At 46.5% G+C, this 24,732-nt stretch overlaps 1 protein-coding gene across 3 annotated transcripts, besides 3 other annotated features; it reads left to right on the top strand.

The window, feature by feature from the left end:
* Positions 825-1,226: a transcriptional cis regulatory region, noted in NCBI's record as "candidate enhancer chr7.5193 targeted for multiplex CRISPR interference". NCBI's record gives its function as "positively regulates KEL gene expression with high confidence in K562 cells {active_cell/tissue: K562}" and the evidence as "EXISTENCE:mutant phenotype evidence [ECO:0000015][PMID:30612741]".
* On the top strand, positions 3,308-24,557 carry KEL (Kell metallo-endopeptidase (Kell blood group)). 3 transcript variants are annotated; one of them, NM_000420.3, is made up of 19 exons: positions 3,308-3,467; positions 3,799-3,876; positions 4,170-4,311; positions 4,567-4,743; positions 7,243-7,367; positions 7,698-7,844; positions 11,144-11,206; positions 11,299-11,487; positions 11,715-11,863; positions 13,033-13,162; positions 19,354-19,464; positions 20,930-21,028; positions 21,271-21,348; positions 21,788-21,888; positions 22,075-22,185; positions 22,328-22,395; positions 22,627-22,796; positions 23,142-23,237; positions 24,258-24,557. In NM_000420.3, exons 1-19 carry the CDS (start codon positions 3,465-3,467, stop codon positions 24,417-24,419), a joined length of 2,199 nt encoding a protein of 732 aa, NP_000411.1. In that variant the 5' UTR covers positions 3,308-3,464; the 3' UTR covers positions 24,420-24,557. The 3 variants fall into 3 exon arrangements, with proteins under 3 accessions (NP_000411.1, XP_047276313.1, XP_005250050.1); XM_005249993.2 differs by lacking the exon at positions 3,308-3,467 and adding an exon at positions 3,573-3,636; XM_047420357.1 differs by lacking the exon at positions 19,354-19,464.
* Positions 3,349-3,544: a silencer, noted in NCBI's record as "fragment chr7:142659214-142659409 (GRCh37/hg19 assembly coordinates)". NCBI's record gives its function as "represses an EF-1alpha promoter that drives an FKBP-Casp9 reporter gene in an ReSE screen in K562 erythroleukemia cells {active_cell/tissue: K562}" and the evidence as "EXISTENCE:reporter gene assay evidence [ECO:0000049][PMID:32094911]".
* Positions 7,178-7,893: an enhancer, noted in NCBI's record as "H3K27ac hESC enhancer chr7:142654865-142655580 (GRCh37/hg19 assembly coordinates)". NCBI's record gives its function as "activates a minimal SCP1, AML or CMV promoter by ChIP-STARR-seq in naive H9 embryonic stem cells {active_cell/tissue: H9 hESC(naive)}" and the evidence as "EXISTENCE:reporter gene assay evidence [ECO:0000049][PMID:30033119]".

Here is a 24,732-nt window from a genome sequence, read left to right as displayed (position 1 = left end):
CACTTAAATTATTTCAAAAGCCACTTTGTGGTATACTGAACTTACAAGCTACTCTTTCCCAAAGGAGCTCCCCAATTCTCAAGTATTGCTTCCTTTGAAAGAGCAATCAGTGCACCCCAAAACCTGCCCCCCATGATCTGTTTCTCCATCATCTTCTGGGCAAAGTCCTCAACATTGCTTGTGATGTCAAGGCTTACTTCGGTTCACTCAGAACTGGGTTTATTGTTCTTTAGGGGGTAGCTTCTTAGTGGCTATCACTGCAATCGAGTGATCTTAGAAGCAAATTGCCAGTCATGTGCACACTTGAGAGTGTCACAATAGACAGATTAATGTCCTGTCCTTGATTTTGATACCACATCCACTGTAGATGGCAGCTGATTATGGATAGAACATTGTGGCAAAGGCCATGATCTTCAGATGATGAAACTGGATGTTAGAGAGTTTGAGAATACTAGTCCCCAAAACTGTCACCTCACAAGGCCAAGCAGTGAAACATAGTTTAAAAAGAAGAGTTTAGATGAAGGAAGATGTTTACTATGAAGAAACTTCCAAAAAACAGATACTTAGTGACTGAGAGGCTCAATGGTTAAGGCTTTGGTTCAATTCTCGGTTCTGCTAATTATTAATTTTGTAACTTTGAGTAAGTTCACTGTACTTTCATATCTCTCTGACCGCTCATCTATAAAATGGGGAAAATAAAAGCTGTTATTTCCCTCAGAAAGTTGCTGTGAAGACTGAAGGAAAATGTACAAGCAAAACATTTAGCACATTCCTAGCACAAAGAAGGTGCTCCGTAAAAAGTGGTTATTTTTATTATTACCAATATTTTATTTTGATACTATTATGGCATGAAACAAAACCTCCTGGAATTAAAATAAACAGACAGGACAATTGAGGGCAAGAAGGAGGCAGCATCCGAAAAGATAAATGTGGTCCATGTGCCACAGCTGTTAACACACCTCTTCTCGGGGCTTAGATCTGAGTGAAGGCTGCTGCACTCCCGTGACTGGGTATGGCTGTGCTGGTGATGACTCACCATGGAGTAGGATATGGGTGATAAGAAGAAGTCCTGCTCCTGAGACAGCTCCCAGGATGGAGGTTGCTTGGCCTTCAGGAGGAGGCTGAGTAGGAATGGTGGACCTGGCAGCTGTGCTGCCCTATCCCTGTGGCTGGCTCAGCTTCTCTGACAGGGAGAGAACCTAAGTCCAGGCTGTGGTGGCTGTCCATAGGCAAATGTCACAGAGCACACTCCATCTTCAACTTTCTCTTATCAAATCTAAGTGGTCTCCATTATCATCTTCCTAGGGAAACATCAGCTCAGGGGCTTTGATTGATAGAAAAGGAGTGAGGAAGGGAATATGTGTGAAGGAAGCTAAAAGCCCATGGGGAGAGTATTGGACTTTCTGTGGAAGGGAAGTTTGAAGAGGAGGCACCATCAGGGTGTACCCACACAGACCAAACACCTCTAGAATCCTGAGTCAGCTTTTTCCCCTCACTCTGATTCCTACTCCCCCCTTAATCAAAATTCCATTGTTCGCTGGCATCACTATTCCCCTAGTCATGCAGAAATGCAACTTGGAGCTCCTCTGTGGCTCTATCATAAACCCCTCCTCCATTCAATCCATTGCCATGACTTTATTCCATACAATTTTTCTTTCTACGCACTTCCCTCCCCTCTGCCATCCCCTTGGGCCGGGCCCTCCCTTCATCACTCCTGCAACACCAAACTAACCACTCTGTTTCTTGTCTTTTATCCAATCAGTCCAGATCCCCAATACCACACCGGCGTTTCTTAGATATTATTGTATCTTGCCACACCTTTCCTCAAAAGCCTTATTTTTCCCAATGCTTTCTTTTCTAATGTATGAAGTTCTGACTTTTCTTTATGACTTTCATGATACCCGACCAGCTGGCCCCAGGGGGCACAATGGCTTTACTCCACTTCTCCACACCCACCCTCATCCTGGCAAGTGCACCATGGCCCTAGCACAGTGCTGATGGAATCTGGAAATATCGCCAGGGGATCATTTGCAAGACTAACCTAATAAATTACATTATTTTTTTCCTGGGATGAGGAAACAAGGACAGAGTTGAAACACCTTCCCCCAGAAATGTGCTTGCCTCTCTCAGACCACAGGTAAGGGCTTAATATGATGTGAGAAAGAGGATTTCTGGCTTGGAATGCAATTCATTTCTATTAACATTTAGAAAGCATCTTGGGTGGGCAGGAATGAAAACCAGACACTGTACATGCTATGACATAGTTTTCAATCACTAAGGAGATGAAGAGGCAAGCTATCAGTGTAACAGAAAGCAGAATGAAAGAAAGAGGGGCTCAGTAAAGCCTTATTCTTTTGTAGAAGGCATGAGATCCTATGAGGTAGGCATAGGCAAGTATTACCCTCATTTTCCAGATGACAAAACTTGCTTACCTGCCTCAGAGTTTAAGTGGCTTGTTTATTGTCACAGAGCTAATAATTAGCAGATTAGGGTCTCCTAGCTGGGTGATCTTTTGAATGCATGACTTTGCCAGCAGCCAGCAGAGCTATGAAACACCGAGAGAAACAATTAAGCATGCTTGGGAACAGTGTGAATGGGCATGGAGCTGGGAGGCCTCCTGGGAAAGGTGGCATTTGACCTGGGAATTGATGAATCCCAGAAAAGCCAATCAGAGAGGTGTGAAAACAAAATTAAAATGGAGACTGGGCCTGAAAAATTCCCAGGCAAACAAAGCCAAAGACCTTAAAAATAGCCATATTCTTGCTAAAACTACAAACATAAATTAAACTTAACTTGGGTCAATTTCTGATAAATGCTTACAACAAATAAAACTTAACCCCAGCCAATGATAAGCAGCCAACTAACATATGATTATGTGACTAGGGACTTTCCAAAAAGTTACCTAAAAAATGCAATTATGTAACTGCAAACTAAGCAAATAATGTTTCATTTTGCTTCTATAACTTCCCAATAAATGCTTGCCTCTGACATTTTGTCATCGCAACACTAAACCTTTGTCGGTCTGGTGCTCCCCAATTCATGAATTGCTTCTTACTTAAATAAACTCTTTAAAATTTTACTGTGCCTCATATTTTTTTTAATACAGAAGAAATGAGAGAAGGAAGAATATTTTAGAAATAAAGGAACTTCATGGGCAGAGTCACAGTGCAAGACAAAAGGAGCAGACCAAGGGCAAGATTGCTTGGGGAGTGAAGACTCCCTCCCTCTTCTCCCCTGAGAAGCTGAGATAAAGGGGGAGGAGAAGCCTGGGTGCCCCCCACTGATAAGCAGGCTCCACCCAGAGGCCAGTCCTGTGTGTCTGGGGACAAGGCGAAAGAGCAGCAGAAGTGCCCCTTCTCCAGGATCAAGGAACTGGGGCGGGGGGTGTTTCCTGGACCCCAGTCCTCCGAATCAGCTCCTAGAGTGGAACCAGGAAGGATTCTGGAGCCACAGAAGATAGACAGATGGTAAGTCCCCTTTTGGAGTCAGAGGCTTAGCGGGGAGGGGTGAGGGTGGCTGTGTGCAAAAGTCCTGCCCCCACTGGAGGGGAGGGAATGTAAGGCTTACAGAGTAGAAAGGTGGGGAGAGAGGGAGGTAATGGGAGAGGGATCGAGAAATGGCACATTCAGGGGACAGGTTCGTTCTGAAGCCCATCTGGGAACACTGCTCCGAGATAAAAATATGTGTGTGGGGGCAGGGCAGGCAGCGAGGGTATCAAAATGGCCTGATAAAACTCTCTTCAATGCACCATTTCCTGAACCAGCTTCTCTCTCCTCCTTCTCCCTCCACTCACTTCAGGAAGGTGGGGACCAAAGTGAGGAAGAGCCGAGGGAACGCAGCCAGGCAGGTGGAATGGGAACTCTCTGGAGCCAAGAGGTAAGTGGCCTCCTCTCCTGGGTCTGGAATACACTGATGTTGTCACTCTCGGCTCTAAAATCCCACAAACACTCATCTACTAACTGTCTGCTTCATCCTCACCCAAAACAGTTGACATTCCTTGTTTTCTCATCTCCCAGGAGTTAAAGTAGGGCTGGGTTTAGGAAGAATTGGGATAATTATTTCTGTATAAAGGGACTGTAGCACCAACAGATTCATTCTCTCTCCTCTTCTTCCCATCCCTGTCTCTCAACCCCCATCTTGTATCTTTCACCTCTTGGTTCCTCCCACAGAGCACTCCAGAAGAGAGGCTGCCCGTGGAAGGGAGCAGGCCATGGGCAGTGGCCAGGCGGGTGCTGACAGCTATCCTGATTTTGGGCCTGCTCCTTTGTTTTTCTGTGCTTTTGTTCTACAACTTCCAGAACTGTGGCCCTCGTAAGCAAGATCCCAGACCCCCTAACCTAGTCAGCCCTCCCCCAGCCCTGGGGCCCAGGCCCAGTCCCTGCTCCTGGGGCTTCTGCCCACCCTGACCCTTGGGGTCCCCATGGTTCTTCTTCCTCCCTGCATCCTAACCATTTCTTTTTCATCAGCTCCCCACTTAGTTACTCACCTGATGTTCTTTGCCTAGCCCCTTGGGGGAGCCCTTGTCTTTTTGCCTCTTCTTTCCCAGCTCTGAGCTTTTCCCCACAGGCCCCTGTGAGACATCTGTGTGTTTGGATCTCCGGGATCATTACCTGGCCTCTGGGAACACAAGTGTGGCCCCCTGCACCGACTTCTTCAGCTTTGCCTGTGGAAGGGCCAAAGAGACCAATAATTCTTTTCAGGAGCTTGCCACAAAGAACAAAAACCGACTTCGGAGAATACTGGGTGAGGAAAGCAGGGTGGAAGATGCTCTGTGCAAGTGGGTGACTCTGTGCCTAAAATGACCATGACTGCTCCAAACCCTGTGTAGTTGTGGAACAACTGATTTGCACCATCCCAGGTGGGATTATACGGGTGGATGATTGGAGATGATGGGGGAGTAAAAGAGGCAGGATGGCGGGAGCTGCCTGGGTTTGCTCATCTCTCACTGTTTCCTGTTGCCTTGCCTTGGGTACCCTTCTTCCGTTTCTCTTGGTCCCTTTCTGCATTTTTTTCTTTATCTAATTTCCATCTTCTTTGCTTCTCCATGTATCCATAATTACTCCATTCTCTCCAACTTGTCCCTTTTAGCAAGCTCCATCTTTGTTGCTTCCTCCAAATGTTCAGTTTCTATCCTATGCATGGTGTTTTCCTCCACAAGCATCTCTTCAGCATCTCCTGCATTTCAATTCTTTTGTCCATCACTCTCATTCTCTAACCTCCAAAACCTCAGTCTCCCAATGACTCCTTGTCAACATTACCCTCTCCCTCTCACCATGCCGGAGCTCCCCTCTCTCACAATGATCTCTTGCTTCTTGCTTCTCCATTGAAACCTTGAACCATGGCAAGCAAGTTGACCTGGAACAAGTGGGATGTTAGAGATGGATGATTGGAGATGATGGATGATGGTGGAATGAAAGGGGTAGGATGGTGGGGTGAGAAGTGAGAGAGGGCTTCATCACTGTGCATAAGAGAAAAAGTGGGTAAGTACAAAGGATATGCTGGAAGAAGAGGAGAGCTGAGTTAATTGGCAGTGGAAGTAAAGTTCCTGCAGATGGAGGCTGGAGAGGAAAACTGCCAGGACTGAGAGGAAAACCAGAAGGATGAGCTGAAACTGAGTAGGAGGTTGGAAGTGCGTCCCAGGAAGTTGGTGGATGGTGGTGAGGATTTGGGAATAAGAACATATAAGATAGACATGCATTTCCAGTGCAAGGGAACCTAAAGAATGTGTTGACACTATCAATTAGAATCTGGGAAAAGTAAATGCACCCCTCTGCCCTCTTTTTTTGATGGGGAAAGAGTGGGAGGGGGCCTCTCTTTGGGTAAATGGATACTTTCAGGGAAGGCACAGAGATAAAAAGAAAAAATATGCTCAGGATAAATTATATTGCCTACAATGGGATGAATAGATATCAGGGGGACTGAGGGTGAAAAGAGTGTTAGATATTAGAGGGTGGATGATTCAGAGAGACTTGCATTTGATTATTGTAGTGTGTTTGTTTCCTGGGATCAATGGATGAGGAGTCTGGACTAGAAGAGTCTTCCCCTGTTTCTTCTCTTTGCTAAACCTTTCCTTATGAGTTTTCTTCTCTCCAAATCCTTAAAGTTCTCTAGTTCCCTGAATTTGTCTAATTTCTTCAATCATTTCTTTTGTCTTTCATTTCTCTCTTTTCTCCTTTGCCCATATCCCACTTATTGCTACCTTTCTCCTTTCTTCCCTGTCTTTTCCTTCTTGGTTTCTTCCCCACATTTCTTTTATTTTCCATATTGTCTTCTTCTCCTCATTCTCTTTCCCTGCTTTCATCATTTCATCAAGTTGATCCATTCCAAATTGGGCAGTCCTCTCATCTTTCTTATTTTCCTCATCTCTATTCCTCCCCCTCCTTCCATATTCTGTGGGAGTCTTTCTTTCCTGTAAGCTCCCTGTCTCCCACCCTCCCTCTTTGCCTCTATACCAGTTGCCACTCCTTTAATTCTCCTGCCGACAAAAAGAGTCAAACTCTGTAAAATATTTGAAAAGATTTATTTTGAGCCAAATATGAGTGACCATGGCCCATGATACAGTCCTCAGGAGATCCTGAGAACATGTGCCCAAGGTGGCTGGGGCACAGCTTGGTTTTATACATTTTAGAGAGTCATGAGACATCAATCAAATACATTTAAGAAATACATTGGTTTGGTCCAGAAAGGTGGAACAACTCAAAGGGGTGGGGGTGGCTTCCAGGGTACAGGTGAATTTAAACATTTCCGGATTGACAGTTGCTTGAGTTTGTCTAAAGATCTGGGATAGATAGAAAGGGAATGTTCAGGGTAAGATAAAGATTGCGGAGACCGAAGTTCTTTTGAAGTCTTATAGTGGCTGCCCTTAGAGACAATAGGTGACAAATGTTTCCTATTCAGATCTTAGTTAATCAAAAGATCTAGCTATGTTAATGAGATATGTTAATAGCTAATAGAGATGCTTTACAGATGCAAATTTTCCTCCACAAAGAACAGCTTTGCAGGGCCATTTCAAAATGTGGCAAAGAAACATGTTTTGGGGTAAAATATTTTTGTTTTCTTCTTTGTCTCGTAATGTTATGCCAGAATCAGGTTAGAAAGTAAATCATGTTACATGGGTTAAATAAAACCCATCTGATGAGAACTTATGATATAGGGCATGACTCCCCAGACCCCTTTGATAGGAATTTGGGGCAAGATAAAAAAAATCAGAGTTTAGTCCTCACTCCCATGCTTCCTTTCTAGAGGTCCAGAATTCCTGGCACCCAGGCTCTGGGGAGGAGAAAGCCTTCCAGTTCTACAACTCCTGCATGGATACACTTGCCATTGAAGCTGCAGGGACTGGTCCCCTCAGACAAGTTATTGAGGAGGTGAGAAAAGTTGGGATATTAACTTTTCTGGATACATAACATATGGGACCAATGCATGCTTAGGGCTGCCATTTTTTTTTCTAGAGGGTGGGTCTTCTTCCTAGGGCCCCCCAATTTCTAGGAGGGAGATGGAGATGGAAATGGTTATGCCCTATGAAAGTATCAGGACCTTGGGAGAAGGCAGATAAAAAAGGATAGATGTGGCTTCCTAGAGGAATCGAAGGGCGCAGGGCAGAGGTCAGGCAGTAGCAGCTGTGTAAGAGCCGATCCAGACAATGGGGGATGGGCTCCACGGATCCTTATGCTCAGCCCCCTCTCTCTCCTTTAAAGCTTGGAGGCTGGCGCATCTCTGGTAAATGGACTTCCTTAAACTTTAACCGAACGCTGAGACTTCTGATGAGTCAGTATGGCCATTTCCCTTTCTTCAGAGCCTACCTAGGACCTCATCCTGCCTCTCCACACACACCAGTCATCCAGGTGAGGGATGCACTGGCGAAGACACAGTTGGACCTGGCCTGCCTCCAACTCTAGCCAATCATCCCTTAGAGGAAGGTTGCAGGTTGGGAAGAGAGGACACCTGTGTGATATAGGAAACAACCCTACCTTAAGGGAAAATTATTGATGTGAAAGTCAGGGACATTAGCTGGGGGTGGGAAATGGAGCAGCAGAGCCAGTGCTGGGAAGACAGAAGTAGGCCTGGTCTTTCTTACTGTTAATCTGGATTAGTCTCAGAGCCCCTTAACCAGTCCTCCTATCTCTAGGATTGCCCTCATTTTATTTACTCTTTATTTTTACTAGAGGGAACTTTTCTAAACCAAGGGCTAACTAACTATGCTACTGTCTGTATTTAAATGCTTGTCAGTGACCCAGTGGCTTGCCAGGTCATCAGAATCTAGTCCCTAATCTTTAGTAAAGCTTTGCAAGCACCTTGTGATCTGACCCCTACACACTTCTCCAGCCTTATCTCCCGTACATTCCTTCTCTCCCTTACCCCCAAGCCATGCTGACTCACTGCTGCTTCCAGGAATATTCCTCAGTTCTTTGCCTATGCTGCTCCCTGTGCCTGCAACCATCCCCCACACTGAACCTGGAAAACTTACATGTTTTTCAAATGTTGGCTTTATTATCTCTTCCAGGAAGTCTTCACCGACACCCTAGTTATGAGTTAGGTGAAGCCCTGCTCTCCCTACTTTCGTTTCCTCATGCTCTCAGCATTTATCACTCTGTGTTGAAGATTGTGAGCCTCTTTAGAACAGGACCATGCTTTATTCACCTTTGTTTCTCAGGACCTATCACAGGGCCAGGCAGCTAGAAGTTTTGCCAGGTATTTGTAGTGAGTGAGTAACTAAATAAAAACACTGGAGCTATCACTCTTGTGGTTAAACAATGTAATGCTATCTGCATATTTGGGCCCTACTGTCAAAAGAGCCACAAAATTACCAAAGGATAAGTACAAAAGAAGAATTGATTATCATTATGAGGTGTTCTAAAATTTAGTTTTAAACAGTCTGCTCAGGAGTTTAACTGATGTGGCCTTTAGGGGCCGGTTAAGATCTGGTTAAGGAGAGGCTCAGAGAGGAGAGAATGAGAGAAGGTGAGCTAAGCCAGCCTTGAAACATGGTTAATTCACACAAGTGGAGGTGAAGCTATGGGGCGTTGGAAATGCTGAGCCAGGGGGAGGACCTGGAATGGTGTGATTCCTTCGTGGAGTCAGTGAGGAGGCTGATCTATTTAATTGAGGATTTGGGAGGCAAGGTGGGGTGCAGTGGGAGGTAAAAGTGAGACTGAAGACATAAGGTTGAGCCTGATTATTTCTAAGAAGCCAGGCGAAGGTGAAACATTTGACATAATAGAAAAAAAAAAAAGAGCTACTGAGGCCATCCAACTCTTATGACAATTGTGCATAGAGCAAGTATTTTGATGGTTGTGCGTAGAGTCAGCAGTTTTGAAGGTCAGTCTGGGGGTGTTGAGGAAACTAAATGAGCATTTTTGAGGCCCTGAGATAGAGGTAGAAATGGAAAGGAAGAGCCAGGCACAAGGATTTAGGCAACTTCACCCTAGTGATGATAGTTCATGCTGTTTCTAGAGGATTTGGTGACTGATTGGATATAAAGAAAGAAAGTGGGGGATTACACAGTGATCCCATTGTTTTGATTTAGTGTGAGTGGGAGGAGGGTGATTATCATCAGTGTGAGCCTGGATAGTCTCTTGGGTTAAAAGCAGGTAGGAAGAATGGACTACAGAAAGAGAAGTCCAAAGACTGAGGGCAGAAGGGAGCCAGGGAAGAGAGAGTACTATTGGAGAGATGGGAGCTAGACCAGTATGGTGGGCCACAAAGGAAAGAAAAGGAGCTTCAGGAAGGAGGGGTCAGCTCAGAGAAGAAGGAATGAGAAGACACCCTTGGATACCTAGAGATACTTTCCAAACAGTTATGGCAGTGGACACAGACTGCACAGAGCTTAGGAGGAAGATAAGAAAGTGGAAACAATGGGCATAGATGCTTTTTTGTTCTTTGAACTGTGGACATACAATGTAGCAAAAGGGTCAAGTGAAAGTTTTTTTCGAGACAGAAGGAAAAGTATATGGCTCAAGATAAGAGTGGGATATTGAAATTGGAGAAGAAAAGGGAAAGAGTAGAAGCAAAGATCTTCAGAATAGAAACAAGGGTTCATCAGGGCCAGACTAAGGTGAAATATACATGGTGCTTACCTGGGGTGCTAATTTAAGAAGGTCCCCAAAACTCAGTATCATGATAAATAGTATTTTATTAAATATTCCTAAAAAATCAAAATCAATGCAACAATACATGATGGAACAAAATATCAAACTTTTCTTCATTATGAATTTTTTTGAAAAAAGATTATGCTTTTTTTCCCAAAAAATGGGACAAAATTCTGTGTGAATCTTTTTGAAAATACTAATTTTTTTATTCAAAATGAATCAAAAATACATTGAGGACTTTTCTTGAACACATCATGATTCTTTTCAAAATTGACTAAAAGTATGTTTTTTTGGGGAAAAAAAGTCCATGATAAGCAAAGTTTTGAGATTTTATTTATCATACATTTTTGGTAGTAATTTTGATTTTTTAAAATGTTAATTATTTATCTTGATTACTGAGTTTTTTTAAAAAAGAGTTTATTTGAGCAAAGACTGATTTATGAATTGGGCAGCATCCTGAAGCAGTAGAGGTTCAGAGAGCTCCACCCAACAATGCAGGCAGGCAGTATTTACAGAAAGAGGAAGTGACACCCAGAAACAGCTTGATTGGTTACAGCTTAGCAATTGTCTTTAATGGGCATGGTCTGATCACTTGACAGCCTGTGGTTGCCTGAAGATCAGCTGGTATGGCTGGCTGAGATGGAGCTACCTGTTGCAAGAATATACTCCTAAGTTAGGTTGCAGTTTGATTACTGAGTTTTTGGTACCTCTTAGATTTTGTACCTGGGACAGGTTCCTCACCTCACTCACCCTGGCCCTGTTCCTGAGACAAGGAATAGCTCCTTTTAAGATGCTGATTATCATGCTTCTGCCTTGCTGGGCACACCCACACTGGTTGTAATACTCACCATCTCTTCCCATTTTCACATCTGGACTCTTCTTCTCATGCCCCTCAACCCTTAATCCCTCCCTTTCTTTGTACTCTTGCTTCTCTTCTGTCCAATCTTTGTGTCCATCTCCCAAGGCCATCTCCCATGGTATATTCCCCACCTCCCCACACCTGCCCTCTCCATCCGCCATGCTCCCTGCTTCTCTCCAGTCTCTCTTGTGCCCAGATAGACCAGCCAGAGTTTGATGTTCCCCTCAAGCAAGATCAAGAACAGAAGATCTATGCCCAGGTAAGATGGCACATGGACAAAGGCCCTGCCCTCTGAGGCCAGGAGAAAAGCAGGGACCTCTGGCACCTGTGACTGACATTTCCTTCCTCCAGATCTTTCGGGAATACCTGACTTACCTGAATCAGCTGGGAACCTTGCTGGGAGGAGACCCAAGCAAGGTGCAAGAACACTCTTCCTTGTCAATCTCCATCACTTCACGGCTGTTCCAGTTTCTGAGGCCCCTGGAGCAGCGGCGGGCACAGGGCAAGCTCTTCCAGATGGTCACTATCGACCAGCTCAAGGTGCCTGGAACTGGGGGCCAGAAGACTGTGGGCATGGGGATCTTCCTCTCAAACATTACCTCCTTTCCTTCTTCCTCCTAGTGCCCTTAATACCTTTTCATTCTGTCTCTGACTCCATCCCCTCCCCCAGTTAGCCTGTTCTCTTCTTTTTCTCACACCCAAGGGGAAGCCCTTTCCCCTTCCTTCTCTTTTCCTTTTCCCCCTCAGCTTTGTGTCCCTCCTCTAAGGAAATGGCCCCCGCCATCGACTGGTTGTCCTGCTTGCAAGCGACATTCACACCGATGTCCCTGAGCCCTTCTCAGTCCCTCGTGGTCCATGACGTGGAATATTTGAAAAACATGTCACAACTGGTGGAGGAGATGCTGCTAAAGCAGAGGTTCGCCGCAGGTGGGATTGGGGAGATCATGGAAATGGAGGAGAGCCTGAGCACCGTAGATCTTGGGGGCAAAGGAAACCTTGGGGAAGGCAGGCTGGTAAGGGCCTCCCAGGAGGATAAGAGGAACCTGCCACCTGTGCGGGCAGAGAAGCGTGGGGTGGGTGGCACAGAGAGGATGGAGGGATCAAGAAGGATGTGTCTTGGGAGCACGAGTAAGGGAGGATACACACGACATGAGGAACGCAGGGTCAGCCAAGACACGGGGTTTCCTGAGAGTAGAACACCAGCCAGTCAAGAGCCTCTGAGCTGTAGAAGATGCTGGAAGACCCAGACACAGAAGACAGTTAAGTGTATGTATGTCTTTTTAGCAGCTGAGGACTGTGGGCAGGAGGAGGAGGCACATGAGATGAGGAGATGAACATGGTGAAGGCTGGGGATGCTTAGGGGAAGAAAGGAAGAGGAGGGGCCATTCCTCAGGTGTGGTGTGAAGATGCTGGAGCTCTTATGGGAAACAATGTCTAAGAGCATTTCTGCTGGTGTCAGGAAATCAAGGGGGTGTTGGGGTTGGGGACATGAAAGAGTGGCTCTTTGTTGGGCTCTCTGCCTCCCCTGATACCTGGGTGGCTACCACCTGAAAGCAGTGGCTTTCTTCCAGGGGCTTGGACCTAAGGGCCTTCTTCATGGTGGCAGCAGCATCTGGAAATCCTTTTTGAGGGAGGTAGCTGCCCATTCACATGGCAGTGAGCAGGCTTACATAAGGGTGCAATGCAGCCCTGGCAGGAGCATTGCTGGTGGAGGAGAGAGCAGTCACAGAGACCAGCTTACTTATGCTTATGAGATACATCTGAGGATAACCAGAGATATCTTGACTGTGGAAGCAGAATCTGTTTCATGACATGAGTCCAGACTCCATCTAGCCCAGAACTTTCTTTCCCTGTGACTTTGAAGGCTGCCTCTTCATCTAGTTTCTTTTACTAAGGAGCTAGATCCCACCCCAACCTACATCATGAAAAGCTCTTTTTGACTTGGGTGCATGTTAAAACACTTATTAATACAGAGGAGAAGGAGCTGCCTTCACGAGTATCAAGGTGACTTACACAAGGAGAGGCTCTTCTTGAAGCATCCCCAGATTCCTGGGGTATATGTGTGGGTCTCTTTTGTCTCCATAGGGACTTTCTGCAGAGCCACATGATCTTAGGGCTGGTGGTGACCCTTTCTCCAGCCCTGGACAGTCAATTCCAGGAGGCACGCAGAAAGCTCAGCCAGAAACTGCGGGAACTGACAGAGCAACCACCCATGGTGAGGAGAGGAGCGGGTGTATTTGCCCAGATACTCGAAAGGAGTATCTACTCTTTTGAGGGGTAAATGTCGGCATCTCTCTCTCAGGGAGGGGGCCGTGATGGTAGATGCCCCTCCATGTCTTGGCTTTCCATAGAAGCAGGCAAGTTGGACAGACAAAGTTTAACTTGAAAACCAAGATGCCACGTGCCAGACCTTCAGGCACACATCTCCCAGCCTGACTACCTCTCTGGCTTCTTGCTGGGTGTTTGAGCTCAAATATAAAACTCTGATATTATCAAAACTGCCCTTTCTTTGTCATGATGCTTACACTATTTGCTCAGGATAACTTGGACTTAGAGCTTACAATTTATTGGGATGACAGAGAGATATGTTACGCAGTGGCCTTCCTTATGTCTAGTTGATTCCATGTTCAAACGTGCTTCACAAAGAGTTTATCTCTGACATCCAGTGGGATCCACTGGGCCACATGTAGACTTTGTGGCACAGATGTGGATATATCTGAGGAGGGGCCTGGGTAGAAAATGCACTTCACTAACCAGAGTCTACTTATTACATAAGATGCAGAGATGCTCCTTTGCTGAGAATCTTGAAATCCCAAGTTGGATATATCCAAATGCAAGCAGAAGAGTCTAGTACATTGGATACATCCCAACCTCAGTGAAGGCCTCAGTTTAGTCTTAAAAATCACTGGATTTTTTTTCTTAGTAATTTGTGGTCCATTTCCCTGCCTTGGAGAAACTCTCTGCTTTGGCAACCTAAAATTGCTGTGGAATTCAGAGAAGATAAATGTATTCACAGGGACTGGAATGTAGTTATTGCTTATCAAGAGCTAATGGTGTGCTAGACACTCTGAAATCCTTTAGATCTAAATCTAGATTTAGATTTAATCTTTACAATTCCATGAGGTACCATGGATGCCATTTGGTTCCTATTTTAAAGAGGAGGAGACAGAGGCACGAAAGATAAGGAAGTTGCTCAGGTATGACAGTAAGTTAGTGGGGTGAGGATTTGAACCCTGGCAGTCTGGCTCCAGGGTCTGTGTTGTTTACTCATTGTGCTAAAAAAGCAGTCTTCCTGAGGAACATCACTTGGGTTGGAGAGTGGCCAAGAAGCTTCTGCCCAGCTTTTCTCTTGATTCAGATGAAGCAGACCAGAGCCCCAAGTTATCTTAATTGGGGTTGCTACAAAATCCTGGCAACAAACAGCTACCTATAAATGCCAGCACCATGGCCTCATGGCACTTCTTGGAGGCTGTAAGAGTGCTAATGTTGAGGCTTAGGCTTAAAGAATGCAGAAGGCTTAGATGTCCTGAAGCCATTATCTTTTCCACTAGGGCACATAATTGTCCTTGGGCTTAAAAGCTGAACTAATCTCTGCCAACAAATAGTTGTGTGACCTTGGGGACGCCACTTCACCTTTCTGGAACAATAGTATAAAAGATGGCACTTAATAATAATGATAATAGCTGCTATACATGGAGTAGTCACTGTCTGTCAGCACTTGGGACAGGTTATTCATTTAAATCTTCCAGAAACACTTGGAGGTTTTTAATCCCCATTTTGCAGAAGCAAAAATAGGCTCAGAAAGGTCAAGAAACTTTCTCAAGACCACACAGCTCACAAGTAAGTGAACAGACTCCAAAACAGATGTTTTGGCTCATAAAGTCATGTTTTTAACCACACACTATACAGGATTGAGAAACAAGTAGGTGCTACAAACAAAGGTTAGAAAACTTTTTTATAAAGGGCAACATAGTAAATATCGACTTCGTGATCCATAAATGGTTGGTGTTACAAACTACTCAACTCTGTCCCTGTAGTGCAAAAACAACTGTACACTAAGTAAATGCTGTGTTCCCAGGGGATCCTGGTTGAGACAGCAGATATTCTTGGAGTTCCCAAGAGGGAGAGATCAGGGAGCATTTGAAGGATCAGTGGCATCTCTGTGCAGGAGGCAGAACTGACAAAATGTCTAGAGAGAGGAAGGAGTTTTCTGGTGAAGAAAGGGGTATCATCTCATGGGGACAGGGCAGGAGGCAGGCTGGCTAAAACTTGGTGCAGGGTGAGGGATCCTCCTGGTGGCTCTGGTTGAGAGGAGAAGACTAGGCTTGCTGTGTCCACTGATGCCCCTGGAGCATGCTCCAGGTGTTTGAGAATCAGCAAGGGAGCCAGGGCACCTGGATCAGAGTGACTAGGACAATAGTGGGGAGGGAATCAGAGCAGGAAGGAGAGAACCATACAAGGTCTGGTAGGTTGCTGAAGGACTTTTGCTTCTCTCTGTATGAAATAAAGACATGCAGAGGGATTTATCTCATTTATGTTTTAAAAGAACATATTTTAAGGTTAGTAATGGGATGTCCTGATGATGAGTGATGTGAGAAGGAGAATGGAATCAAAGACATCACCTAGAGTTTGGCCTTGATATGATCAAAATGTTTGGTTTTATTCAGTGGCCATTAATTACCGACTTCTGATCATATTCTTTTGAATGAATTATAATTTATAGTGCCCTTATACAGAAAGATTTCTAAATCTCATTATTGGCCCATCTTTGGATGATTAGTTTTGAATAGAGTTATAGTCAATGAAAATGGCTGTTAAGTCAGGTTTTCTTTTATGAAACTTGGGAAGGTGGGTTTTGAGAAGTAAAAGCAGAACTTCACATTTGTGATGATTAAATGTGAATGATTTATATTCAGCCCAACATCTCAATTTATTCAGGTCTTCCAGCTTTGGATCATTTGCAATTTTATTCAGTGTATCTTCGTCCAGACTACTGTTAAGATCCTGAAGGGAGAAGGGCATCGGGTCAGGTTATTGAAGACCTAGATATGGATTTATGCATTCATTTATGTAACAAACATTTATTGAGAACCTAGTGTACTTCAGGTACTTCTCCAGGCACTTGGAATGCAGCAATGAACAAAAAAGACAAATAAATAATCCTGCCTTCAGCCACATATCCTGGTGAAAGAAGAAAGACAATAAACAAACTAATAAAATAATAAAATATGTTAGGAGGTGTTATGAAGAAAAGCAAAACAGGAAATGAGGAAAGGAAATGCTAAGTGAGTGGTAGTTAGGATTCTTAGTAGGAATGTCACTGGAGGTCAAGTTAACTTGAAATCATTCACCATTGATGTTTACTTTTGATTCAGCCAGATGAGACTCCACTCAAATTGCACTATCATTCAACATCAGTTTCTCTATCTAATTCACGAGGACTCAATCTGTGTTTTTCAAGCCTGGCTAAATCAAGATAATGCCAACAGAGTGGGGTAGTGCCTTAGAGTACTTGAAAGGTATTATTTCACCTGATCCCCAAACCTGTGAGGAAGGTAGACTAGATATTGTTTTCATTTCGACAACTGGTGTCACTGAACCACAGGGGTTTAAGTTAATAACTCAAACTTAGTAAGTGCTAATACTCTATTCAGTGGTAGGATGGTAGTGGTGCTTGAGGATGTATTTCGTCTATAGATGTGTTTTGTTAGCCTGTAGAATCTTTTGCAAACTTTGAATTAATCACCAACATTCAAAAACTAGGATATGGCATGCCAGCATTCAGGTTTCTAGTGTGTGTGTGTGTGTGTGTGTGTGTGTGTGTCTGTGAAGCTTGGGAAACACTGGGCTACCCTTCTCCTGTGGCAACAACTGACTGTCGCTACATGATGCAGCTCAGGGCTGGGTGCGCTCTCTGAAGCCCCACCACAGCCTGTAGCTCTGATGTTGCACTGCTGTTCTCTGTTATGCCTCTGCATGGCCCCTATTGGAGTTTGCGGCTTCCGGTCTTTCATATGCCTCAGTTACATAAGCCTTTTAGCCAGAAGAATTTTTATCATTTTGGCATTATTTTTCTTCAGTGATCCTATCATAGCCCTTAGTAGTTACACATTATTTTCCAAGTGTTAAAAAACTGTTTAATGATTCGTTCCACAATTTTGTTTAGAAATTAACATTAAGGATTCCTGGTTGGCTCGTAATCCCTAAAATTTCCTTTCATCCTATAGAAGATTGGTCAAATTTTTGCTTCCCTCCGGACTCTTAGAATCTGTCCTGATTTCTATCATTTCTCAAATACTATCTGTGGTTCTGAGGTTGTATATGGAACTTTTTTTTTCTGGTGCCCTAAAATTAGTCCACTGAGTTTCATTATCTTGGGTTTGAAGTATTTCTTCTATTGTTTATATTTTGGAGACTTTTTTTTCTCGAATTCTATTTCTCTCCCTCTCTTTCTCTCTCTGACTCTCCCTTTGCAGTCAATGTGGTATACACTACCATTCCACATCTTGAGAGAGAGCTGTAGTAGTGGTCTGAGGTGGCGATTGTATTATCCAGTAGTCAGGTCCCACGGCAAAGCATGTTGGAGAAATGATCAGGCTCCAGCAAAGGGCATCAGGAAACAAATCAAGAATGAGAAGGGGTGAGAAGAATAGGCAGATCTACACTTCCAAGCTCAAGTGGTCTCCCTGCTGATGCTGGTTGCTGCTCCACATGTAGCAACTGTCTGGTAAGAGGTATTCCTGGAGCCAAGCTTGTCCAGCAGAATGTGGCTGGCAGATTCTCAACTTGGCCTATAATTGCTTTCAGACCCGGACTTCTTTTTAGTTCCTGTTGTTTCAGAGCTCCAACTCATGCAGCATGAGAAGAATCTGAGCCTCTTCTCTTTATCAGAGACAAGGTTGGCCAGGTGCGGTGGCTCTTGCCTGCAATCCCAGCACTTTGGGAGGCCAAGGCAGATGGACCACTTGAGCCCAGGAGTTTGAGACCAGCCTGGCCAACATGGCAAAACTTCATCTCTGGTGGTAGCCACCTGTAATCCCAGCTACTTGGGAGACTGAAGCAGAAGACTCACTTGAACCCGGGAGGTGAAAGTTGCAGTGAGCCGAGATTGCACCACTGCACTCCAGCCTGGGTCACAGAGTGAGACTCTGTTACAAAATAAAAATAAAAATAAGACTCAAGGTTAGCAGACCTCAAGGTTCAATAGAACACAGATGTGGACAGCCAGGCCTGCAGCAACCTCCAAAATGATAACCTCTTTAACTGGTGGGTTCGGGAGTTTTTTCTTCAGTGACTACCAGACTGGCCTCTTTGGTCTGTTTCCTGTAGTGGGATGTACATAAACCCCCTCCATTCCCAGGACCAGCCTAGCTCCTGCGGGGAGAGTATTAGTGGCAGCCTTCCTACCTTCCCCGTGGGCAGGTCTTTGGGAAGTAAAAAAATCACAGGAATAAAGTTTTGAGGCTTCATCCTGCCTAACCCAAATTAGCATATTAGCTGGTATTTATCAGTTCCAGCTCAGCTTTCCCTCAGGCCAGCTACCTCCTCCTGTCCCTGGGTTCCTTGAGTGTGTGTCTCCATTTACCGTGTCATCTCTGGGTTTATGCCTTGGTCAAGTTTTTAAAGCCATGCAAGCCCACCGCCAAGACCTTCTCAGCATCTGTCTCTTCTGTTTCTCATTCTTGAGGTCCTCAGCTGGCACTGCCCTCTTGGATGTTTGTCCATGGCCTCCTGCCTCTGCAGTGAAAGCCCTCCACCTTCCTGTTCTATTCTCTCCTCTCTGACTTGGCTGGAAGTCTTCCAGCTCTATGAATTTATACACTGAGTCTTGTCTTGTGTCCTCTTTTCCTAGCAAACAATATGGCATCTAAAACCCAGTTCTACTCTGATAATTTTTTCTTTACAAGATGCTACAGTATGATACACCATGCCCACCTGGAGAGAGGATAAAGGTGATGGTGGTAGGACAGAATTTCCATCCGCAATCTCCGTTTTGAGCAAAGAAGCATGGAGGATGGAAGTCATTGCTGGGACCCCGGAGTAGAGTGGTGGTGGGGGAACAGGGGGAACATCAGACTGCCGAGGTATGAGTTTGGGTTCTCATCTTCTTCCCAGGAGGCTTTTGAAACCCCAGGATGATGCCTCCTAGAGGCCTTGCTGTCAAATTCAATAGGCAATAACATGAAGGATTTACTCAGCCAGGCTCATGAGACCAGCTCTGAGGAAGCTGTGCTTTTCTTGTACTGATCGGTGATGTGCATCACCCTAAGGGATAGTAAACAGATGAAACCCAGAAAGTCCAGTCAAAAGAGCACCCTCTGGGAATGAAGATCTAGTGAAGACTGGGGAGACAGATGAGGAAAGAGTCCTGAACAGGAGCCACTCATTCCAGCTTTGTCTCCATAGCCTGCCCGCCCACGATGGATGAAGTGCGTGGAGGAGACAGGCACGTTCTTCGAGCCCACGCTGGCGGCTTTGTTTGTTCGTGAGGCCTTTGGCCCGAGCACCCGAAGTGCTGTATGTGAGAGCTCTTCCCAGCCCACATCCCTCCACCCCTTCCTACCCAAAGCAGCCTTCCCTCTTCTATTAACTTTGACTTTCTCAGTGGTGTGTGTGATTGGGGAATTGGGCAGTCAGAGAAGGGCCACTGAGAGAGGGAACCCAAAGGCCTGCTCCATCCCTGGTGTGGAAACAGTTCAGCTTCAGGCCACAAATTCTCCATGACATGCTCTCACTTGGACAAGTCACCCAACTTTCCTGGTCTTGTGTTTCTTCAACCATCAAATGAGAAAATCGAGCCAGGCTCGGTGGCTCACACCTGTAATCCCAGCACTTTGGGAGGCTGAGGTGGGCGGATCACCTGAGGTCAGGAGTTCAAGACCAGCCTGACCAACATGGAGAAACCCCATCTCTACTAAAAATACAAAATTAGCTGGGCGTGGTGGTGCATGCCTGTAATCCCAGCTACTCGGGAGGCCGAGGCAGGCGAATCGCTTGAACCTGGGCGGCAGAGGTTGCAGTGAGCCGAGATCACGCCATTGTACTCTAGCCTGGGTGACAAGAGTGAAACTCCATCTCCAAAAAAAAAAAAGGAAAATTGAACACTATCATCTCTAAGTCTCCTCCCTGTTGTAGCTAAGATTTTTTTAACAACACATGACGTGACATCAGAACAGATGACATAATCTTGAAGAGGGCAAATAAATCAAATAAATCACCACTGAATACTTTCTGAGTACCTACCACATGCCTGGGACTCCTTCAAGAACTTTGCATGAACTACGTCATTTAGTTCCTATTATGATCCTGATTTTATACAAGAGGGAACTGAAGCAAAGAGAGGTTAAGTGACTTGCCCAAAGTCACACAGTTACCAAAAAGCAGAGACAGGGTTTGAACTCAGGCATTCTGATGCCAGAGCCCAGGCTCTCGATATTGCCTTTCATTTTCCTCCAGGAAAGGATTTACATGAGATGGCAGGTGGCTGGGGAAGCAGTGAGTACACACTCACGTTGTGAAGGCAGGGAGACTTGTGGGGGACTTGCTGGGAAGCTGAAGAGCTCAGGAGGATGAGGAGAGGGAGTGGACGGTTTAAAAAAGACAGTGTGAGAACAAGAGCCCTGAGCCAGAGGAGAAAATGACAGCCCTCTCCTCCCTCTGATTTCTGAGAGGTGTTCCTGCCCCCAGGAGTGAGGACACTGTCTTTCTCCTGTGTCAGGCTATTTCCCCATGGAAAGGAACTATATCTCCCTGATGGCCCTCACGGATGGCCAGGCCCCACCTTCCCTTTGTGGGCTTGGCACTGCCTTCCTTTCTCCACAGATCCTTTAGTTGCTTTAGTTGAGCTGCTCCTCTAGCAGCAGCTCCAGCCCAGGCAGCTCCTTGGGGCCAAGCCCTTTTCCAAGGGTCAGAAGCTGTGGGCAGGGCCAGGCTGAGGCCTCTCCTGATCCTGTCCCCCTGTCCCTGGACCTCACTCCCACAGGCCATGAAATTATTCACTGCGATCCGGGATGCCCTCATCACTCGCCTCAGAAACCTTCCCTGGATGAATGAGGAGACCCAGAACATGGCCCAGGACAAGGTCAGGCCAGGCGTCCTGGCTGGTGTGGGAGCCTGTGCAGGGAATGGAGTATTGGAACAAGCGAGATGGGGATTGGAAGCAAATGCCAAAGGCCCCCCCAGGCACATGCTAAGTAGGGAAGCCACTGGGCTGTATACTCACACTGGCAACAATGTGAGAGGCTGGGACAGGGCAACGAGTGGGAGAAATTTCCTCTGGTAGACTCGGAGAGTATTCCTAGCCTCTTCTGTGTCTCTCTCCAGGTTGCTCAACTGCAGGTGGAGATGGGGGCTTCAGAATGGGCCCTGAAGCCAGAGCTGGCCCGACAAGAATACAACGATGTGGGTCCCTGTGTTTTCCAGCTCCTTTTCAGTCCTTGACTTCTCGTCACTTCTCTGACCCTCCTAAGTCTTTGTTGGACAATCAGTTTTCCCTGGGTGACTTAGCTCTGTCCTTACTCTGGTGCTGGCTGGGGTTGATGGGGAAATATCCACACTGTACGTCTTGCTGGCAGAAGAACAGAATCTTTTCAGGTCCCAACGCATGTGCCAACACACATGCATGCATCCTGTGACTTGTCTGGGCGTGTTCATCTGTGTGCTGATATGTGTAAAGCCTGGGTGTGCTGTGTAGTGATGCCATTGGGCTGCTCTCTCCTAATCCCTGGATGCCTGCCTGTCAGGGCTTGCCTGTTTGGGGTCAAATGGTCCCATTGGTGTTTGTCAGCGTGCATCTATAGAAGTCTCTGTGTGCCCAAGTCACCTCCTGCCTCTTCCCCAGATACAGCTTGGATCGAGCTTCCTGCAGTCTGTCCTGAGCTGTGTCCGGTCCCTCCGAGCTAGAATTGTCCAGAGCTTCTTGCAGCCTCACCCCCAACACAGGTATGACAGCAGGGGAGACACAGGCACTCCATCCCAGAGAGACCCATCCATGATTCACAGGAAAGGAAGCCAGGGCTCAGGGCAGGCAGCATGAACAGTAATGGTAGTTGGGAGGGACTGTGTAGGTCTCAGGGTGGCAGGGCAATACGTGGTGGGGGCTGGAGTTCACATGTCCTCTTCCCACAGGTGGAAGGTGTCCCCTTGGGACGTCAATGCTTACTATTCGGTATCTGACCATGTGGTAGTCTTTCCAGCTGGACTCCTCCAACCCCCATTCTTCCACCCTGGCTATCCCAGGTATGGGTCACTCTGTAAGGGTAGGTAGGGAGTTTCCCAAGAGGGGCCGACAGGTGTTATGATGGATGGGACTTACGGTTGGAGAATTGGGGTCACAAATGCTGAGAGATTCTGGGGGTCAAATAAGCCCTTGTCTCCCTAGAGCCGTGAACTTTGGCGCTGCTGGCAGCATCATGGCCCACGAGCTGTTGCACATCTTCTACCAGCTCTGTGGGTAACAGGGGCCACTGGGAGGTGGGATAATAGGGAACCTAAGGGAAGACCACAAGGGAGGCCTGGAGGGGAAAGGGAGGTTATTTGAGGGTTTGAGGTGGGGCAGTCCTGGGAACTTTGCCATGCTCCTGGGAGCTGATTCAGTCTGTGGTACCACCCACATCCTCACCTAGGCAGCACCAACCCTATGTTCTCTTGCTGTATGTTCTCTTGTCCCATTTTCAACAGTACTGCCTGGGGGCTGCCTCGCCTGTGACAACCATGCCCTCCAGGAAGCTCACCTGTGCCTGAAGCGCCATTATGCTGCCTTTCCATTACCTAGCAGAACCTCCTTCAATGACTCCCTCACATTCTTAGAGAATGCTGCAGACGTTGGGGGGCTAGCCATCGCGCTGCAGGTATGCAAGTGTCAAGGGCCACAGTTTATGTGTACTGGCAGACTAGAAAACATGTCCTCAAGTTTTCCTTCCACCATTCCTGACACAAGTACAGTTGCATGGCTTTCTGCCCTTCGCATCCCCACTGAATAGACGGCAACTTGGGGATCCCCCTCCTACCCCAGAGATCCTCCATTTTAGGACATCTATAGGTCTTCTGGGAAGTACTCTTTCTTCTGGCTCAGATCAACTAGTCAGTGCAGAACCAGTGAGCAAGGGCCATGGGTTTTGGGTACTGTGTGGAGGGACTTTCAAATGGCCACAGGTCTAGAGCCTGATGGCCCTTCTCTACCCACCCCTACCCAGGCATACAGCAAGAGGCTGTTACGGCACCATGGGGAGACTGTCCTGCCCAGCCTGGACCTCAGCCCCCAGCAGATCTTCTTTCGAAGCTATGCCCAGGTAGGCAGCGGCCACCTCCCGCCACAGCTTGCTTTATGTCAGTTGAACGCCTTATTACTGAAGCTCATGGAAGTCCCCTCTTCAGACACTCCGTCAAATACCCCAAACCCTCTTCTGCAGATGTCCTCACTGTTATCTTTTCTCTTCCCTCCCTACCCCTTGGAATCACCCCTCAGATGACTACAGGTTCTTCTACCTAGTTCAGCACCCCCACAACTCAAAAGGTAGAAAAAACTCTATTCCCAAGTTCCTCCAGGAGAGGAGGAGACCAACTTTTTTTTCCTCTCATACCCCCAAAATACAGATGCCTTAAAAATGAGCCTGTGGTTGGGCACAGTGGCTCACACCTGTAATCCTGGCACTCTAGGAGGCCGAGGTGGGCGGATCACTTGAGATCAGGAGTTTAAGACCAGCCTGGCCAATATGGTGAAACCCCGTCTCTACTAAAAATACAAAACTTAGCTGGGCTTGGTGGCGGGCGCCTGTAATCCCAGCTACTTGAGAGGCTGAGGCACGAGAATCGCTTGAACCTGGGAGGCGGAGGTTGCAGTGAGCCAAGATCATGCCACTGCACTCCAGGCTGGGTGGTAGAGCAAGACTCAGTCTCACAAAAAAAAAAAAAAAGCCTGCGACAGGCTGACTGTGTGCCACATTCCTCTTCAGACACCTGACCTTAGGTGTGGCGCCCACTTGACATCACCTCCTTAAGCACCCTGTACTCCCTCAACAGACTCAGGTGCCAGGTCTTCAACACGCTTAGATTAGACTTCACCCCAGAGCTCCTGCGCTAGACCCTGCCTCTCTGTCATTGATAAATGGTATCATTACACAGCCCAGGCCCTCCTCCTGGACTCCTATTGCCAGATTAAATGAACTATACATTTCAAATGCTCCATGTGGCCCTTGGGGCACTTGATCCCCTGGTTCCCCTCTTTGTCTGCTGTCCCTGATCACCCCTTGTCACCGGGTCAGCTTTGTCCTGTGGACCCTCCCCCTTCAATGACCTCTCTTCCTGCTCAGGTGATGTGTAGGAAGCCCAGCCCCCAGGACTCTCACGACACTCACAGCCCTCCACACCTCCGAGTCCACGGGCCCCTCAGCAGCACCCCAGCCTTTGCCAGGTATTTCCGCTGTGCACGTGGTGCTCTCTTGAACCCCTCCAGCCGCTGCCAGCTCTGGTAACTTGGTTACCAAAGATGCCACAGCACAGAAATATCGACCAACACCTCCCTGGTCACATCCATGGAATCAGAGCAAGATTTCCTTTCTGCTTCTGTTCCAAAAATAAAAGCTGGCACTTGGCTTCCGCTTGTCTCTTAATGACTTGTTCCTGCTATGTTCTATGCCTGGAAGTCATTAACTGTACGGGAGAAAAATACCCTGAAGTTAGAAAAGATAAGAGGGAGAAATGCCAAAAATGTTTCATGGACACAAGAAAAGGAAAGAATCAACAATTGGTGACCTGGTGGGTTTGAAGGCCACCCAGTGGACCAAA

The sequence above is a fragment of the Homo sapiens genome, chromosome 7, assembly GCF_000001405.40.
Source record: "Homo sapiens chromosome 7, GRCh38.p14 Primary Assembly".
NCBI lineage: Eukaryota > Metazoa > Chordata > Mammalia > Primates > Hominidae > Homo > Homo sapiens.
The sequence above is the reverse complement of the archived record's forward strand: the minus strand, read 5'-3'. Positions and strand labels throughout refer to the sequence as shown.

Excerpts from the sequence above, each read along its gene's own strand:
- KEL (XM_005249993.2), top strand. The coding sequence starts at position 3,598 with ATGGGAGAGGGATCGAGAAATGGCACATTCAGGGGACAG. Across the intron at positions 11,207-11,298 it reads AACAGAAGATCTATGCCCAG|ATCTTTCGGGAATACCTGAC; the intron begins GTAAGATGGCAC and ends TCCTTCCTCCAG. Across the intron at positions 19,465-20,929 it reads GCCCGAGCACCCGAAGTGCT|GCCATGAAATTATTCACTGC; the intron begins GTATGTGAGAGC and ends TCACTCCCACAG.